Source organism: Homo sapiens, chromosome 8 (assembly GCF_000001405.40).
Source record: "Homo sapiens chromosome 8, GRCh38.p14 Primary Assembly".
Taxonomy (NCBI): Eukaryota; Metazoa; Chordata; class Mammalia; order Primates; family Hominidae; genus Homo; species Homo sapiens.
The window spans coordinates 112,589,031-112,608,161 of NC_000008.11; the positions used below are offsets into that span (position 1 = coordinate 112,589,031).

General features: G+C 36.7%; 1 protein-coding gene across 9 annotated transcripts in view, besides 1 other annotated feature; it reads right to left on the reverse strand.

Moving 5' to 3' along the window:
- CSMD3 (CUB and Sushi multiple domains 3) overlaps nucleotides 1-19,131 on the reverse strand; it is a 1,214,012-nt gene that overhangs the window by 366,103 nt on the left and 828,778 nt on the right. The gene's annotated exons all lie outside the window — the stretch shown is intronic.
- Nucleotides 5,280-5,867: an enhancer, noted in NCBI's record as "H3K27ac-H3K4me1 hESC enhancer chr8:113606539-113607126 (GRCh37/hg19 assembly coordinates)". NCBI's record gives its function as "activates a minimal SCP1, AML or CMV promoter by ChIP-STARR-seq in naive H9 embryonic stem cells {active_cell/tissue: H9 hESC(naive)}" and the evidence as "EXISTENCE:reporter gene assay evidence [ECO:0000049][PMID:30033119]".

Genomic DNA, 19,131 nt, shown 5'->3' on the forward strand with positions numbered 1-19,131 from the left:
TTTGAATTATTTTACAGAGACATGAAGTTTTGAAAATACAAATGGTTTTAGTTCTTCTCTGTAATAAACTGACACAATATTTTTCAATTGCACGTCTAATCTTGCACTTTCTGGTTAAAATACACTGATGATCAGCAAGTCAAAATCCAGAGAATGTCATACAAGGCCATTTACAATGCGATCCCAGTGTGCCTGTCCAGCTATTACCTACCCTTCTCTGCCATGGACCTTGCAATTTAGCTGCCCTGAGCTACTACTGGCCCTTGGCCACAGTCTCACAATCTGAGCCTTTGAATGTGCTATTTTCTCCGCATATGAACACCACCTCTGGTCCCAAGAGATGTGAATAAAGAAAATTACCACCCATAAGGAAAATTACTTGATATGAAATTAAATTATTATGGTTCTTTTCAGTATCCGGTGGCTGTGATGGTATATTAAATTGAAAAAAGCAACAACCCATTAAAATATTACGGATAATTCTCACGAATAATAGTCATGGTTCCATGCTTATGAATGCCCAGCAAAAATATCATAACTTCAAGATTTTCATTATATATAACATGATTAGCACAGCAAGTTTTCATAAAGCTTATTTAAACTGAGAAGATAAGTGTTGGCAAACTGTGACTGAATATTCTTAAGATATGTTAAAATTGAGAAAAGGAACTAGCAGCAGAACAGCTAACCACAAGAGAGAAGCATGGTTAGTTGATACAAGGAAGACAAGGGCATATATGAAAACGTCAACTACATGAGAAAGGAGTTTGAGTAAAGCAAGTCCTAACGATCCAACCGGTAAAGGCGAGTTGAAAAAGTTATCTGTCAGCCATAGTGACATTTATGGAGAGTATACCGCTATCACTGAACAGTAACAAATGTATGACTCAGAAGATTATGTCAATGTTAAGGTTTTCAGTCAGGTGCTATAAGGAATAGCATATGTAAAATAAAACATGCATGTGAAAAATATGTTACAATAAAAAAGCTACAAGGTCACTGTAATACAAACAATTTATTTGCTTGGTTGAGAATGTACTGTAAGATATTTGAAGTGGCTAGAGGCAAATGATAGAATGCTCTGATTTGGAAAAAATAAATTTATAGGTTGATTCCATAGATAATTATGAAATATTTATTATGTACTGGGTGGTGAGGGGAATAGTTGAAGCTCCTATGGGACCTACTTTCCAGTGGAAAGGATGGATGTCTATCATACAATCACTCAAATAAAAATATAGTATGTGAAAGCATATAACTGAGAGCCCTGACCTGTCCTGAATAGCCAGGAAAGACTCTCTGAAGTACTGCAACTTGAAAATGGATGAGTAAATTAAAGGTGAAGGGAGAAGACAAGTGGGGTAAAAGAATATTCCAAACAGAAGGAACATTATATCTAAAAACATTATTGGAGGGGGTGGGAGACAAAGGAGATAATGACAGGTTCTAGGAACTGAAAGACCTGATATGAAAAAGCTTTCTTTGTGCAAGGTTGATCTAGAGGTAGATCTCCGAGGATGTTTATCTGGTGTGATAGCAGAAGAAATGTTCTTTCTTAGGTGTGTATGAATGGAGAAGTCATTAGGTGTGAGCTGCTTGTTCTTGTGATGGGGAAATACTTTTGTCTTTAAGGCTTGGAATGTTGGTTGCAGAATTTGAAGAGGAAAAGAGGAGACTGAATGAGGTACATTTATAAAATTTTTTGAGATTTTGGGTCAGAAAACCACTGCTTCAGGGTTTAGGGGTTGCAATGTTTTCTGGAGGTGAGGTAAGCACACTTCTTCCTACCTTAACATAAGCCCAGGATCTTGTTTCTCTCATGTCTTGATCCAGAGTGAGTTTTAAGTTCTTGATAACTGATGCTACTAACTGATAAAGCCTATGTTTGATAATAAGGATTTCCTACAAAATAATAAATGTAAAGCTATTAATAGGTAGTAATGTTTCCTCTCTCTAATTTGAACTAGGGGGTGGTGTCATCTTTAAATCATAAAAATTAATAATATGAAAACATTACATAATTTAGCAGTGTTAGGAAAATGTTTGGAGAATAAGTACTTAGTGCTCTTTTTAGCATATAAATATTTTCTGTGCAATTTCCAGTGTACACATTGTATATGATGACTTTTCTGAAAAACAAGTCCTATTCATATAAAATATTTTTTTATTTAAATGTACAGATTAAGATATCTATTCGAGTTACCAATATGAAACTCTTTGCTGAATATGAAAATAATATGATGATAAATGTGGCTTTAGTTGGATTGAAGTGGGAAAGAAATGTGTACTGAAATTTGATGATAAGAGTCACTGATACAGTGAAGAATTCACTAGAGCAGGGATACCCAAAAACAGACAAGACATGCATCATTAATCTCCATTACTGGGATAAGAAAATCTGGTAGCATCTATTGTACACATACAGTCATATAGTTTTAGATAAACTGAAAAAATGCTTTTCAGCAATTTGACTGGATATCTGAAAAATGTCTAGATCAGTAAACTTCATAGTTACTTTTTTAAAAATGTGCATTACAACTGAGTCTTTTTATTTTTAAACTGTTTTGTGAAAGCAGGCAAAATATACTTGATTTAGATTGTTCAAAAAACTTAGAATGTTTTTAAACATAAACATATGGTATGCAAGTCAAATAAGGAGTAGCATTAAGCAGAAATATATTTTTCCATATGTTTAATTATTACCAGAAGAAAAATAATAATACATGATTTTGCTCATAGAGGATCATAGGAGGATCAAATCCAAATCAATCATTTCTTTTCTGCATGTGAATTCAGATTTTTTTTCATTTTTATCAGCTATTTTAGCCCATTATGTTCCAAATATAATTTAGATTTCATTTCATTAAGTTAGGACACCATTGATTATAAAAGGCATCTTTATGTGTCCCTAAAAAAGCAAAAATGTTGCCAATACACTATAATAGTCATTGATTGTGAGATACACACATATTTCACAGCTGTTAGTTTTTTAAAATGGGGCATCTAAAAATTGTGAAATATGGTAAAATGTGTTAATAAGATTAATTTGTGTGTGTTTTTTTTAGCACTTCTCCTAAGATGCCTTCTCAACTTGGCAGTATTAATAACACTTTGTTCTTCAGAAATTTTTAGTCAAAAATATTTTATTTTCTTAAATAGGCATTTCAATAATACTTGGATTTTCAGAAGTGGGTAGAAATTGTAGGGTAGAAAGATACATTAATTTCCTTATGCCCCTACTGAGAATATGAGAATCCATTGGTATTACTTGCATACAGTCTTATTTTTTCTTTCTTTTGTTCTTCTTAGGCAATAATAGTACTTAACTGGCTTTCTCCTTTTAGCCTCTCTAAATACAATACATGTATGTATCCAAGGGCAAACTAGTGCTACTGAAAGTTATTTTAAAAAAAGAGTTTAAACATTTTTTGAAGAATTTCAAAAAAGTTTCATAGCTACTTTTTCCCCTTAAACATTTGTTTTTAATGCATTTTCTATAATCATTTTTTACCATACAGAATTAGGGTAATCTTTATTACCATGTGGAATTATATTTTTGTGTGTGAATTGCAGTCATAATTGAAACGCTTAAATTCAAAACTTTTTAAAATCAATTATATCATTTTCTGTCAAAAATATTGACTATTTCCCATAATCTGACATTGTCTTTTCATTTTTTCTTCTTTCCATGAACAGCTACTGAAGGTCTACTGTGCTCAGTTATTTATTAAAAATAATGTTCTTAATAAAAATAACTATGGATATGCCTGATACCGTATTAGGTCTTGGGGATAGGTCCTCTTCCTCATGTGATATGTACTCCAAAAAAGAGGCAGACATGGAAACTGGTACATGCACTAACATGTAGTCTCTAGTATGATACAAGTTCATGTAATAGGCTGAGATGGCACAAATGAAGAAGTAGTATATTTTAAAGAAGCCACAAGAGAATTACATTAAGGCAGACTTCATGACTGTGTTTTTCTTGATTTGAGAAAGAAATGTGGTTCCAAACGTAATCAAATTGTACAAAGAAGGGATTCCAGGCAGAGTGAAATACTTGAATGAAAGTATAAATAGGTAAACCAAATTGATACTAGTTAGAAGAACCAGTGATTCATACGCCATTCTAAGACATTTGAACTTTATCTTGTAGGCAATGGAGATTCATAGAAGAGTTTTAAAAAGAGAAAAACATGACCAACTTTGAGAAATCCATTAGGGCAGCTCTATGAGGAATGAATTGTAGTCTTGGGTTACTAGAGGATGAAAACCCTAGAGAAGATTGTTGTAGTGCTACAGACAGAAGATGAGAGCTTCAACTAAAGCAATGGAGGAAGAGGAGATGCCAAAGTAAAAGTTAGAACTTGGAGACAAGTTCGATGTGGGGGCATGAAAGAGAGGAAAAGGTAGAGAAGACAATGAGTGGCTTTGATTATAATGCTGATGAATGTATTTTTGCACAAGATAAATTTGGTATGCCTGTTGGACGTCAAGTAAAGTACTCCAAGCAGCTAGACATATTTGTACCCATGAGATTGATCTTTTAAAGCCACAGACAAAAAGGTTTATCCAGAGAATACACACATATATATGTACACATATTGAGAAGAGAAGCAAAATAAGACCAAGGTACACTCAGCAAGAGAATTTAACAGGTAGACAAAAGGGACATTCAAAGAAGGTAGTATCATGGAATAGTAAAGAGAAGATAGTTTTAAGAAAATAATTGTCATCAGTGTTAAATCAGAGTTCAATTAAAATGAATACTGAGAGTACATTGATTTGGGCAATTAAGAGTTTGGGAAGAAAGGAACTATAATATTGTCTGTAAAGGGTCAGGGGTGATACAGGTTTGAAGGAAGGGTCTTTTTGTTTTTTGATGTTTTTGTCTTTGGTTTTGTTTTGTTTTTTGGTTAGTTTTGAATTAAAAACATTTCAGTACATTTATATTTTAAGTGAAAGGAATAGTACAGGGGAGGAGCCAAGATGGCCGAATAGGAACAGCTCCGGTCTACAGCTCCCAGTGTGAGCGACGCAGAACACGGGTGATTTCTGCATTTCCATCTGAGGTACCGGGTTCATCTCACTAGGGAGTGCCAGACAGTGGGCACAGGTCAGTGGGTGCACGCACCGTGTGCGAGCCGAAGCAGGGCGAGGCATTGCCTCACTTGGGAAGCCCAAGGGGTCAGGGAGTTCCCTTTCCGAGTCAAAGAAAGGGGCGATGGACGCACCTGGAAAATCGGGTCACTCCCACTCGAATATTGCGCTTTTCGGACCGGCTTAAAAAACGGCGCACCACGAGATTATATCCCGCACCCGGCTCGGAGGGTCCTACGCCCACAGAGTCTCGCTGATTGCTAGCACAGCAGTCTGAGATCAAACTGCAAGGCGGCAGCCAGGCTGGGGGAGGGGCGCCCGCCATTGCCCAGGCTTGCTTAGGTAAACAAAGCAGCCTGGAAGCTCGAACTGGGTGTAGCCCACCACAGCTCAAGGAGGCCTGCCTGCCTCTGTAGGCTCCACCTCTGGGGGCAGGGCACAAACAAAAAGACAGCAGTAACCTCTGCAGACTTAAATGTCCCCGTCTGACAGCTTTGAAGAGAGTAGTGGTTCTCCCAGCACGCAGCTGGAGATCTGAGAACGGGCAGACTGCCTCCTCAAGTGGGTCCCTAACCCCTGACCCCCCGAGCAGCCTAACTGGGAGGCACCCCCCAGTAGGGGCACACTGACACCTCACACGGCAGGGTACTCCAACAGACCTGCAGCTGAGGGTCCTGTCTGTTAGAAAGAAAACTAACAAACAGAAAGGACATCCACACCAAAAACCCATCTGTACATCACCATCATCAAAGACCAAAAGTAGATAAAACCACAAAGATGGGGAAAAAACAGAACAGAAAAACTGGAAACTCTAAAACGCAGAGCGCCTCTCCTCCTCCAAAGGAACGCAGTTCCTCACCAGCAATGGAACAAAGCTGAATGGAGAATGACTTTGACGAGCTGAGAGAAGAAGGCTTCAGATGATCAAATTACTCTGAGCTACGGGAGGACATTCAAACCAAAGGCAAAGAAGTTGAAAACTTTGAAAAAAATTTAGAAGAATGTATAACTAGAATAACCAATACAGAGAAGTGCTTAAAGGAGCTGATGGAGCTGAAAACCAAGGCTCGAGAACTACGTGAAGAATGCAGAAGCCTCAGGAGTCGATGCGATCAACTGGAAGAAAGGGTATCAGCAATGGAAGATGAAACGAATGAAATGAAGCGAGAAGGGAAGTTTAGAGAAAAAAGAATAACAAGAAATGAGCAAAGCCTCCAAGAAATATGGGACTATGTGAAAAGACCAAATCTACGTCTGATTGGTGTACCTGAAAGTGATGGGGAGAATGGAACCAAGTTGGAAAACACTCTGCAGGATATTATCCAGGAGAACTTCCCCAATCTAGCAAGGCAGGCCAACGTTCAGATTCAGGAAATACAGAGAACGCCATAAAGATACTCCTCGAGAAGAGCAACTCCAAGACACATAATTGTCAGATTCACCAAAGTTGAAATGAAGGAAAAAATGTTAAGGGCAGCCAGAGAGAAAGGTCGGGTTACCCTCAAAGGGAAGCCCATCAGACTAACAGCGGATCTCTCGGCAGAAACCCTACAAGCCAGAAGAGAGTGGGGGCCAATATTCAACATTCTTAAAGACAAGAATTTTCAACCCAGAATTTCATATCCAGCCAAACTAAGCTTCATAAGTGAAGGAGAAATAAAATACTTTACAGACAAGCAAATGCTGACCGATTTTGTCACCACCAGGCCTGCCCTAAAAGAGCTCCTGAAGGAAGCGCTAAACATGGAAAGGAACAACCGGTACCAGCCGCTGCAAAATCATGCCAAAATGTAAAGACCATCAAGACTAGGAAGAAACTGCATCAACTAACGAGCAAAATCACCAGCTAACATCATAATGACAGGATCAAATTCACACATAACAATATTAACTTTAAATGTAAATGGACTAAATGCTCCAATTAAAAGACACAGACTGGCAAATTGGATAAAGAGTCAAGACCCATCAATGTGCTGTATTCAGGAAACCCATCTCACGTGCAGAGACACACATAGGCTCAAAATAAAAGGATGGAGGAAGATCTACCAAGCAATTGGAAAACAAAAAAAGGCAGGGGTTGCAATCCTAGTCTCTGATAAAACAGACTTTAAACCAACAAAGATCAAAAGAGACAAAGAAGGCCATTACATAATGGTAAAGGGATCAGTTCAACAAGAAGAGCTAACTATCCAAAATATATATGCACCCAATACAGGAGCACCCAGATTCATAAAGCAAGTCCTGAGTGACCTACAAAGAGACTTAGACTCCCACACATTAATAATGGGAGACTTTAACACCCCACTGTCAACATTAGACAGATCAACGAGACAGAAAGTTAACTAAGATACCCAGGAATTGAACTCAGCTCTGCACCAAGCGGACCTAATAGACATCTACAGAACTCTCCACCCCAAATCAACAGAATACACATTTTTTTCAGCACCACACCACACCTATTCCAAAATTGACCACATACTTGGAAGTAAAGCTCTCCTCAGCAAATGTAAAAGAAAAGAGATTATAACAAACTATCTCTCAGACCACAGTGCAATCAAACTAGAACTCAGGATTAAGAATCTCACTCAAAACCGCTCAACTAGATGGAAACTGAACAACCTGCTCCTGAATGACTACTGGATACATAATGAAATGAAGGCAGAAATAAAGATGTTCTTTGAAACCAACGAGAACAAAGACACAATATACCAGAATCTCTGGGACGCATTCAAAGCAGTGTGTAGAGGGAAATTTATAGCACTAAATGCCCACAAGAGAAAGCAGGAAAGATCCAAAATTGACACCCTAACATCACAATTAAAAGAACTAGAAAAGCAAGAGCAAACACATTCAAAAGCTAGCAGAAAGCAAGAAATAACTAAAATCAGAGCACAACTGAAGGAAATAGAGACACAAAAAAGTCTTCAAAAAATTAATGAATCCAGGAGCTGGTTTTTTGAAAGGATCAACAAAATTGATAGACCGCTAGCAAGACTAATAAAGAAGAAAAGAGAGAAGAGTCAAATAGACACAATAAAAAATGATAAAGGGGATATCACCACCAATCCCACAGAAATACAAACTACCATCAGAGAATACTACAAACACCTCTATGCAAATAAACTAGAAAATCTAGAAGAAATGGATAAATTCCTCAACATATACACCCTCCCAAGACTAAACCAGGAAGAAGTTGAATCTCTGAATAGACCAATAACAGGAGCTGAAATTGTGGCAATAATCAATAGTTTACCAACCAAAAAGAGTCCAGGACCAGATGGATTCACAGCCGAATTCTACCAGAGGTACAAGGAGGAACTGGTACCATTCCTTCTGAAACTATTCCAATCAATAGAAAAAGAGGGAATCCTCCCTAACTCATTTTATGAGGCCAGCATCATTCTGATACCAAAGCCAGGCAGAGACACAACCAAAAAAGAGAATTTTAGACCAATATCCTTGATGAACATTGATGCAAAAATCCTCAATAAAATACTGGCAAACCGAATCCAGTAGCACATCGAAAAGCTTATCCACCATGATCAAGTGGGCTTCATCCCTGGGATGCAAGGCTGGTTCAATATACGCAAATCAATAAGTGTAATCCAGCATATAAACAGAGCCAAAGACAAAAACCACATGATTATCTCAATAGATGCAGAAAAAGCCTTTGACAAAATTCAACAACCCTTCATGCTAAAAACTCTCAATAAATTAGGTATTGATGGGACGTATTTCAAAATAATAAGAGCTATCTATGACAAACCCACAGCCAATATCATACTGAATGGGCAAAAACTGGAAGCATTCCCTTTGAAAACTGGCACAAGACAGGGATGTCCTCTCTCACCACTCCTATTCAACATAGTGTTGGAAGTTCTGGCCAGGGCAATTAGGCAGGAGAAGGAAATAAAGGGTATTCAATTAGGAAAACAGGAAGTCAAATTGTCCCTGTTTGCAGATGACATGATTGTATATCTAGAAAACCCCATTGTCTCAGCCCAAAATCTCCTTAAGCTGATAAGCAACTTCAGCAAAGTCTCAGGATACAAAAACAATGTACAAAAATCACAAGCATTCTTATACACCAACAACAGACAAACAGAGAGCCAAATCATGAGTGAACTCCCATTCACAATTGCTTCAAAGAGAATAAAATACCTAGGAATCCAACTTACAAGGGATGGGAAGGACCTCTTCAAGGAGAACTACAAACCACTTCTCGAAGAAATAAAAGAGGATACAAACAAATGGAAGAACATTCCATGCTCATGGATAGGAAGAATCAATATTGTGAAAATGGCCATACTGCCCAAGGTAATTTACAGATTCAATGCCATCCCCATAAAGCTACCAATGACTTTCTTCACAGAATTGGAAAAAACTACTTTAAAGTTCATATGGAACCAAAAAAGAGCCCACATCGCCAAGGCAATCCTAAGCCAAAAGAACAAAGCTGGAGGCATCACACTACCTGACTTCAAACTATACTACAAGGCTACAGTAACCAAAACAGCATGGTACTGGTACCAAAACAGAGATATAGATCAATGGAACAGAACAGAGCCCTCAGAAATAATGCCGCATATCTACAACTATCTGATCTTTGACAAACCTGAGAAAAACAAGAAATGGGGAAAGGATTCCCTATTTAATAAATGGTGCTGGGAAAACTGGCTAGCCATATGTAGAAAGCTGAAATAGGATCCCCTCCTTACACCTTATACAAAAATCAATTCAAGATGGATTAAAGACTTAAACGTTAGACCTAAAACCATAAAAACCCTAGAAGAAAACCTAGGCAGTACCATTCAGGACATAGGCATGGGCAAGGACTTCATGTCCAAAACACCAAAAGCAATGGCAACAAAAGACAAAATTGACAAATGGGATCTAATTAAACTAAAGAGCTTCTGCACAGCAAAAGAAACTACCATCAGAGTGAACAGGCAACCTACAACATGGGAGAAAATTTTCGCAACCTACTCATCTGACAAAGGGCTAATATCCAGAATCTACAATGAACTCAAACAAATTTAAAAGAAAAAAAAAACAACCCCATCAAAAAGTGGGCGAAGGACATGAACAGACACTTCTCAAAAGAAGACATTTATGCAGCCAAAAAACACATGAAAAAATGCTCATCACCACTGGCCATCAGAGAAATGCAAATCAAAACCACAATGAGATACCATCTCACACCAGTTAGAATGGCAATCATTAAAAAGTCAGGAAACAACAGGTGCTGGAGAGGATGTGGAGAAATAGGAACACTTTTACACTGTTGGTGGGACTGTAAACTAGTTCAACCATTGTGGAAGTCAGTGTGGCGATTCCTCAGGGATCTAGAACTAGAAATACCATTTGACCCAGCCATCCCATTACTGGGTATACACACAAAGGACTATAAATCATGCTGCTATAAAGACACATGCACACGTATGTTTATTGCGGCATTATTCACAATAGCAAAGACTTGGAACCAACCCAAATGTCCAACAGTGATAAACTGGATTAAGAAAATGTGGCACATATACACCATGGAATACTATGCAGCCATAAAAAATGATGAGTTCATGTCCTTTGTAGGGACATGGATGAAATTGGAAATCATCATTCTCAGTAAACTATCGCAAGAAGAAAAAACCAAACACCGTATATTCTCACTCATAGGTGGGAATTGAACAATGAGATCACATGGACACAGGAAGGGGAATATCACACTCTGGGGACTGTGGTGGGGTGGGGGGAGGGGGGAGGGATAGCATTGGGAGATATACCTAATGCTAGATGACGAGTTAGTGGGTGCAGCGCACCAGCATGGCACATGTATACACATGTAACTAACCTGCACAATGTGCACATGTACCCTAAAACTTAAAGTATATATATAAAAAAAAGGAATAGTACAGAGGTGGAGGGTGACTGGGGTTTTAAAATGCTATCTCTGAGTCAGAACACCCAAAAATCGAATAACTTAAAACTAGGCTAAGAAGTCACTTGAAAAAAATCTATGTGATTTTTAAATATAATAACTCAAGACATGGATTTAAATTCCATGTACACTATAATTACTACTATAGAACACGATATATATAATAAAAAATGCTACCAAAAATGACAAGAAATTCTACAGTAGTTTTCAAATAAATGGCTCTTTATTTAAAATTCACTGAAAAAATATGAACATTGTGCTCAAAATAGATTGCTTTGTTTTCATTATTTTTTGAATACTGCATATTGGGCCAAGAGTATTATTGATTTATAACGACAAGACCTTTAGAGAGTAGACCTTTGACTACCTCATTTAACGCAACCGATAAGAATGGTATTATAATAAATATGGCTATGTCAAAAATGTTTCTATATAAATATTCCTTCCTCCTTAAAATACATTTTATACATTTTTGTGATGCAAAGAGAAGGCAATCCTTTATGCAACAGTTTTGTTTTCATGTCTTTTAGTCAAACGGTCAAACCAAATTGTAGTGTTAAGTATCCTGAGAGTAAGGAAACATGTCATAATATTTCTTATATCTCATGATTTTTTTTTCTTTTCTTTTCTTTTTTTTTGAGACGGAGTCTCCCTCTGTCACCCATGCTGGAGTGCGATCTCGGCTCACTGCAAGCTCCACCTCCCAAGTTCACGCCATTCTCCTGCCTCAGCCTGCTGAGTAGCTGGGACTACAGGCGCCCGCCACTACGCCCAGCTAATTTTATGTATTTTTAGTAGAGACGGGGTTTCACCGTGTTAGCCAGGATGGTCTCGATCTCGTGATCCATCCTCCTTGGCCTCCCAAAGTGCTGAGATTACAGGCGTGAGCCACCGCGCCCGGTCCCCACGATCCTTATATACTTCTCTAGACCCTGTGAAAACCCAATAAATACTGCTAATTCAATAACAAGGAGGTAGGAATACTAAGAAAAAGAGAGATTCATTATTCTTGGAAGTGTGAGAAGCAGTAATTGCTGAAAACAAGAACAAAATATACTTCTTTTATCTAATAGATATTTTATCTAGTATAGATTTTTTAATCTAATAGATTAATTTCTCTGCATACTATATGCACACCTTATCTGAAGGTGATATGAGCAATAGCAATAGCTAGTAGTAGTTGTGAAGTGCTTACTATTCTAATTCTTTAAATGCACTTCCCGGTGAAGTAACCCTGTGTTTTGGAGGATAAATTTAAAAATGTGAGTGGTGGAATAAGGTGCCCAAGATCACATAATGGGTGAACTTTAAGCACAGATAGTTCTGTCTCCAGGCCCAAGACACTCAACCCCTTCATGATATTTCCACTCAGAGGCGAATAAGATACAAACATACAATCAAGGAACTTCACTTTCTCAAGGACTATAGGAATTTCTATAAATTACTATACTACAAAGCAAAAGGTGCAAGAAAGTAAGAGATAATCTGCACAGGTTTAAGGAGATAGATATTGCTTCTGATGAAAAAGTCAGAGAATGCTTCATCAAGAAGGTAGCATTTTGGTTGCACTTTGAAGAATTCAAAGTGGGATTGTGATTGGCTGAGAAAAGAAAAGACAGATTCAGGGGAAAGAAGGCAATTCAATTTAAACATATTAATTTTCCTGGTATTGGGGAAAAAGGGAAAGGCAGGAGTAACTTTTAGTTTTACTTAGTTCAATTAATATTTTTATATAGTGTCCCTTCTAATTTCATAACTGCCTTGGCACCATGGAAATATGCTCTCTACGATGAGTTAATTAAATACTTAAAATTATACTTAATCCTAAACCATAGGTATTAGGGATGTTAAAAACAATTTTTCTATTTATAGATTGAAATACAAGTTTCAGGTTAAGCATAACGTTAATAAAGTTCTCTAGCAGGGCAGAGGAAAAAGAGAAGCCGATGGGAGCAGATAGCTTCCTGTGCATTTTCTTCTATTACTTTAGAGTGGTCACTGTCTAACAATTTTTAATGAAATGATAAGGAAGCAAATAAGCCAAACATTCTTAAATATTAGGATGATTTTTATGTTATTGGGAGACCCCCAATATCTAATTCAATGATCCAATGTTATAGCAAACAAAACTTTTAAAAGATTTTTTTCAGCACATTTAAAGAAAAGTTTATAACATAATCAGCACTTGAACAAATAAAGGGTTAGGGGATTGACTCTCTATGCATTTGAAAATTTGTCGCCTGTAACCCCAGCACTTTGGCAGGGCAAGGAGGGTGGACCACCTGAGGTCAGGAGTCCGAGACCAGCCTGGCCAGCATAGTGAAACCCTGTCTCTACTAAAAACACAAAAATTAGCTGGGTGTGGTGGCGGGTGCCTGTAATCCCAGCTATTCAGGAGGCTGAGGCAGGAGAGTCATTTAAACCCAGGAGGCGGAGGTTGCCGTGAGCCAAGATAGTGCCATTGCACTCCAGCCTGGGCAACAAGAGCAAAACTCTGTCTCAAAAAAAAAAAAAAAAAGAAAGAAAAGAAAATTAGTGTCTAACTTTTGACTTCCCCAAAACTTAACTCCTAATAGCCTATTGTTAGCCCACAGCATCACCGATAACATAGTCAATTAATATATATTTAGTATGTTATATGTATTATATACTATATTCTTACAATAAAGTAAGCTAGAGCAAAAATGTTATTAAGAAAATAATAAAAAATATATATTTATAGTACTGTATTTATTGATACTGTAAGTTTATGTTATTGGCTTCCAAGATGAATCAAATGTCTGAAATGGTAGGCAATCACAGCTGCAGACATCAGTCTATGGTACATATCAAGCAATTCACATTTTTGGGTAGTGGGGTGGGGAGAGAGACAAAGTCTTGCTCTGTCATACAGGCTGGAGTGCAGTGGCACTCTCTTTGCTCATGCCTCAGCCTCCCAAGTAGCTGGGACTACAGGAGCATGCCACCATGGCAGGCTAATTTTTGTATTTTTAGTAGTAAAGGGCTTTTACCATGTTGGCCAGGCTGGTCTCGAACTCCTGGCCTCAGGTGATACACCCACCTCGCCCTCTCAAAGTGTCGGGATTGCAGGCGTAAGCCACTGCATCTGGCCCAATTCACATTTTTTCTTGTAATGTAGTGACATTTTTCTGCTTCTTGGAAGTACTTCCAGCATTGCTAGTGTCACTTCATTCCCATGGCATTATTCAGTTTATTGTATTGCATTAAACAACAAAAAATATCTGAGAAATTACACAAATCAAATTTTACTGCACTATGCAGTTTACTGGAGAGACAAATTGCTGATGTGGAGATGACTGATGCTACATGGTACTTTAAGCAATACTTGCAACACTTGGGCTCACCATAATAGCAAAAAGAAGTGGCTAAGAAATTATTACTCTAGTACAGTATGTACTGTAGTTAATTTTGTGCAGTTGTGATTTTATATGGCATCTTTATATTTATTTACATTCCTCTCCACTGCAAATTGTGCCATGTATGGTCTGTAAGTGTTTGTGTGGGTAAGTTTGAAAAAATGTTAATTTTTTATAATAGATTTGTGGACATTTTATGGTAGTAAATGATAAAATAGACTGATGTATACATATATTTTATGCATTCATGACATATCTAAGTTTTTCTCTTTTTTTATGTTACATGGTTCATCTGTGAGTTCTTTCAAATTGTCACAAATCTCCAAAAAGTTTTCTAATATATTTATCCAAAAAAATTGCATATTAGTGAACCTAAATAGTTCAAACTTGTATTGTTCAAGTGTCAACTGCATGATGAATGTGTAAGGAATATATTAGGTAAGTTAAGGCACTGGTAACAAACAAAAATCAAATAAAACCAGGTAAGAAGTTAATTTATGAGAAATAAAATCTTCATTATGTAAATCTAGTCACTTAAACTGAATATTGATTCAGATTTTATTGAATAAATAATATTAATTTTTTTTCAATTTAAGATCATCATCCATTCCCACTTATGCTCTCCAAAACTAACATTGTTTAACATTTTTCAAACTGCAATTTGCAAACTTTCAGTTAAATGAACATTTTTTCAGTTGGAAGGTAGAGGGGCAAGGGAGATTTTTACTGCATTACTCATAGTAAATATTCAAAAAGTTCAGAAGACCTTAAGAACTGTTTGCAGTAGAGTTTGAAGCCAGGTAGTGTGATGCCTCCAGCTTTGTTCTTTTTGCTTAGGATGTCATTGGCTATTTGGGCTTTTTATTTTTGCATCAATATGAATTTTTAGAGTAGTTTTTTTCTAATTATGTGAAAAATGTCATTGATAGTTTGATAGGAATAGCCACAGATCAATACAATGAAAACAGCGTGGTACTGATATAAAAATAGAAATACAGACCAATAGAGTAGGTTAGAGAACCCAGAAATGAAACCATACACCTACAACGATCTGATCTTTGACAAAGCCAACAAAAACAAGCATAAGGGAAAGGATTCTCTATGCAATAAATAGGTAGTGTTGAGATGACTGGCTAGGCATATGGAGAAGATTGAAACTTTACTCTTTCCCCTTTCATCATATACAAAAACCAACTCGGGATGGATTAAAGCCTTAAATGTAAAACCTAAAGCTATAAAAGTTCTGAAAGAAAACCTAAGACATGCCAATACCTAGCTCCTGGCAAAGGTTTCATAATGAAGATGCCAAAAGCAATAGCAAGAAATACAAAAATTAACAAAGAGGACCTAATTGAACTAAAGAGCTTTTGCACAGCAAAAGAAAGTATTAACTGAGTAAACAGACAACCGACAGAATATGAGAAAATATTCACAAACCATGAATCTGACAAAGGTCTAATATCCAGAATCTCTAAGAACCTTGTTAGCAAGCAAAAAAACAGACAACCTTATTAAAATATGGGCAAAGGACATGAACAGACACTTCTCAAAAGAAGACATAAATGTGGCCAATAAGCATATAAAAAATGTTCAACTTCATGACTCATTAGAGAAATACAAATCAAAACCACAATGAGATATCATCTGACACCAGCCAGAATAGCTATTAATAAAAGTCAAAAAATAATGGATGCTGGTGATGCTTTAAAGAAAAGGGAATGCTTATACATTGCTGGTGGGTATGTAAGTTAGTTCAGTCATTTTGGAAAGCAGTTTGGATATTTCTCAAAGAAGTTAAAATAGAACCATTATTTGAGCCAGAAAGCCCATTACTGAGTATTTACTCAAAGAAATATAAATTGTTCTACCATAAAGTCACATGCATACATATGTTCATTGCACTATTCAAAATAGTAAAGACATGGAATCAACCTAGATGCCCATCAATAGTGGACTGCACAAAGAAAATGTGATACATATACACTATGGAATACTACATAGTCATAAAAAGGAATGAACTCATGTTCTCTGCAACAACATGGAAAGACCTGGAGACCATTATCCTAAGCAAATTAATGCAGGAACAGAAAGCCAAATACCACATGTTCTCACTTACAAGTGGGAGCTAAACACTGAGTACACATGGAAACAAAGAAGGGAACAATAAACACAAAGTGAAGGGTGGGAGGGCAGAGGGTGGGAGTAGGGCAAGGATGAAAAAAAAAAACTACCTATTAGGTACTATGCTCGTTACCTGGAAACAAAATAATCTGTACACCAAACAGCCATGACATGCAATTTACTCATGTAACAAACCTGCACATGTACCCCCTGAACCTAAAATAAAACTTGGAAAAAATACCTGTTTTCACGGCTCATTTTACACAAATGTAATCTTAATTAATTTATATTATGTTTAATTGTGATTAATTTATCACAAAGAATTTCTAGCATAATCTGTCAATCCTGCCCTTCATTCTAATAAGTTTAGGCCTTTAAAGCAGAGATATGGCTCTGTACCTTACACTTAAAGCAACACTAGCTAATTAGATGCACAGGATGGTGAAACAGGAGCTTCTATCATCATCCTCTGAAGCAGCCTCAACTTAAACAAGTATCTACAAACAAAAGTACCTTTGTGGAAATCTGGAAGTCCAGTGAAGAAGTTCCAGCAGACTGTGGCATCATAAAATCCAAAAACTGACTTATCAAAGGAAGAACAGTATCAGGTTACCTATGTCGCCTGTACCCCAGGGTGGCACAGGTTGATGCCAAGAGAAGCCCCTACAGCCCATGATTTCTCCTACATGGAAAGTAAAGGCATAGTGACTGAGTGCCTGACACCTCCAGCATGCAGAACACTGCCTAATAGACTCACTTCTATCTTGCTTCACCTAGAATCCTGAAGTGGTTGACACTGCTCAGTAACTGGGAGAGGCTGGAAAGAGAGAAGGGAGGCTGCAGAAGCTACTAATAGCTCCACTGACTCCATCAGAGACGCTACCATGAGATGTATGGGATGCTTTGCCTCCAGAACCCCAGATCATCCAGGCAGATAATCAACAAAGAAACACTGTACTTGAACTACCCTATAGACCAAATAAACCTAACAGATAGAGCATTTCACCCATCAGCAGCAGAGTACACATTATTCTTAAATGAACATGGAATATTCTTCAGGACATATCACGTTAGGTCACAAAACAAGTCCGAACAAATTCAAGAAGACTGAAGTTATACCAAGGACCTTTTTCAACTTAATGGTATACAACTAGAAGTTGGTAACAGGAGGAAAACTAGAAAATTCACAAATATATGGAAATTAAACAACATGATTGTGAGCAATAAATGGTTAAAAGAAGAAATCAAAAGGAAAATTTAAAAATATATTGAAGCAAATGAAGGAGGAAACATACAAAACCTTATGGGATGCAGCATTGTCCAAGAGAGAAGTTTTCAGTGATAAATGGCTGCATGAAGAAAATAGAAAGATCTCAAATAAACAATCCAACTTTACCCCTCAAGCTATGAAAAAAAAAAAAAAAAAAAAAAGCTAAGCTCAAAGTTAGTGAAAGGAAAAGGACAAAGATCAGAGCAGAAATAAATGAAATGGAGACTAGGAAAGCAATAGAAAAGATCAACAAACCAAGAGTTGGTTTTTTGAAAAAATAAGCCAAATTTGTAAACTTCAGCTATACTAAAGAAAAAAGAGAGTCTCAAATAAATAAAATTATAAATGAATCGTATCATAAGAGACTACCATCACAATTACATGCTAACAAATTAGATAACCTAGAATAAATGAATAAATTCCAAGAAAAACATGACTTACAAAGACTTATAAAGAAATATTAATATAAATAGATTAATAATGAGTGAGAAGTCTGATTCACTAATTAAAAATCTCCCATCAAAGAAAAGCTCAGAAACTGATAATTTCATTGTAGAATTTTATTTAACATTTAAAGAATAATTAACACCAATCTTTCTCAGACTCTTCCAAAGAACTGAAGAGGAGAGAGCACATCCAGATTCATTTAAAAGGCCAATATTAACCTGACACCAAAGACAGACAAGATACTACCAAAAAAATTTACAGGCTAATATCCATGATGAACATAGATTCAAAAATCCTAAAAAAATTTTAACAAACCAAATTCAACAGTGCCATGATCAAGTTAGATTTATCCCTGGGATGCAATATGTTTCAGTTTACTGTACAGATACTAATAAACATGATATATTACATTAACAAAATGAATGACAAAATTATCATCTCAATAGATGCAGAAAAATCACTTGACAAAATTCAATATCCTTTCATGATAAAAATTTCCAAAAGATGAGGTAATAGAAAGAATGCACCTAAACACAATAAAAGTCATATATCAGAAGCCCACAGCTGACATCAAACATTGAAAAGCTAAAAGCTTGCCCAACAAGATTAGGAACAAGACAAGAATGCCCACTCTCACTAATTCTATTCACCATAGCACTGAAAGTTCTAGCCAGAGCAACTAGGAAAGAAAAAGAAACCAAAACCATCCGAAACATAAAAGAAGAAGGCAATTGTCTCTGTTTGCAGATGACGTCATCTTACATATAGAAAACTCTAAAGACTCCACCAACAAAACTGGTAGAACTAATAAATTAATTCAGTAAAATTGCAGGATATAACATTAACATATAAAAATTAGTTGTGTTTCCATATACTAACAA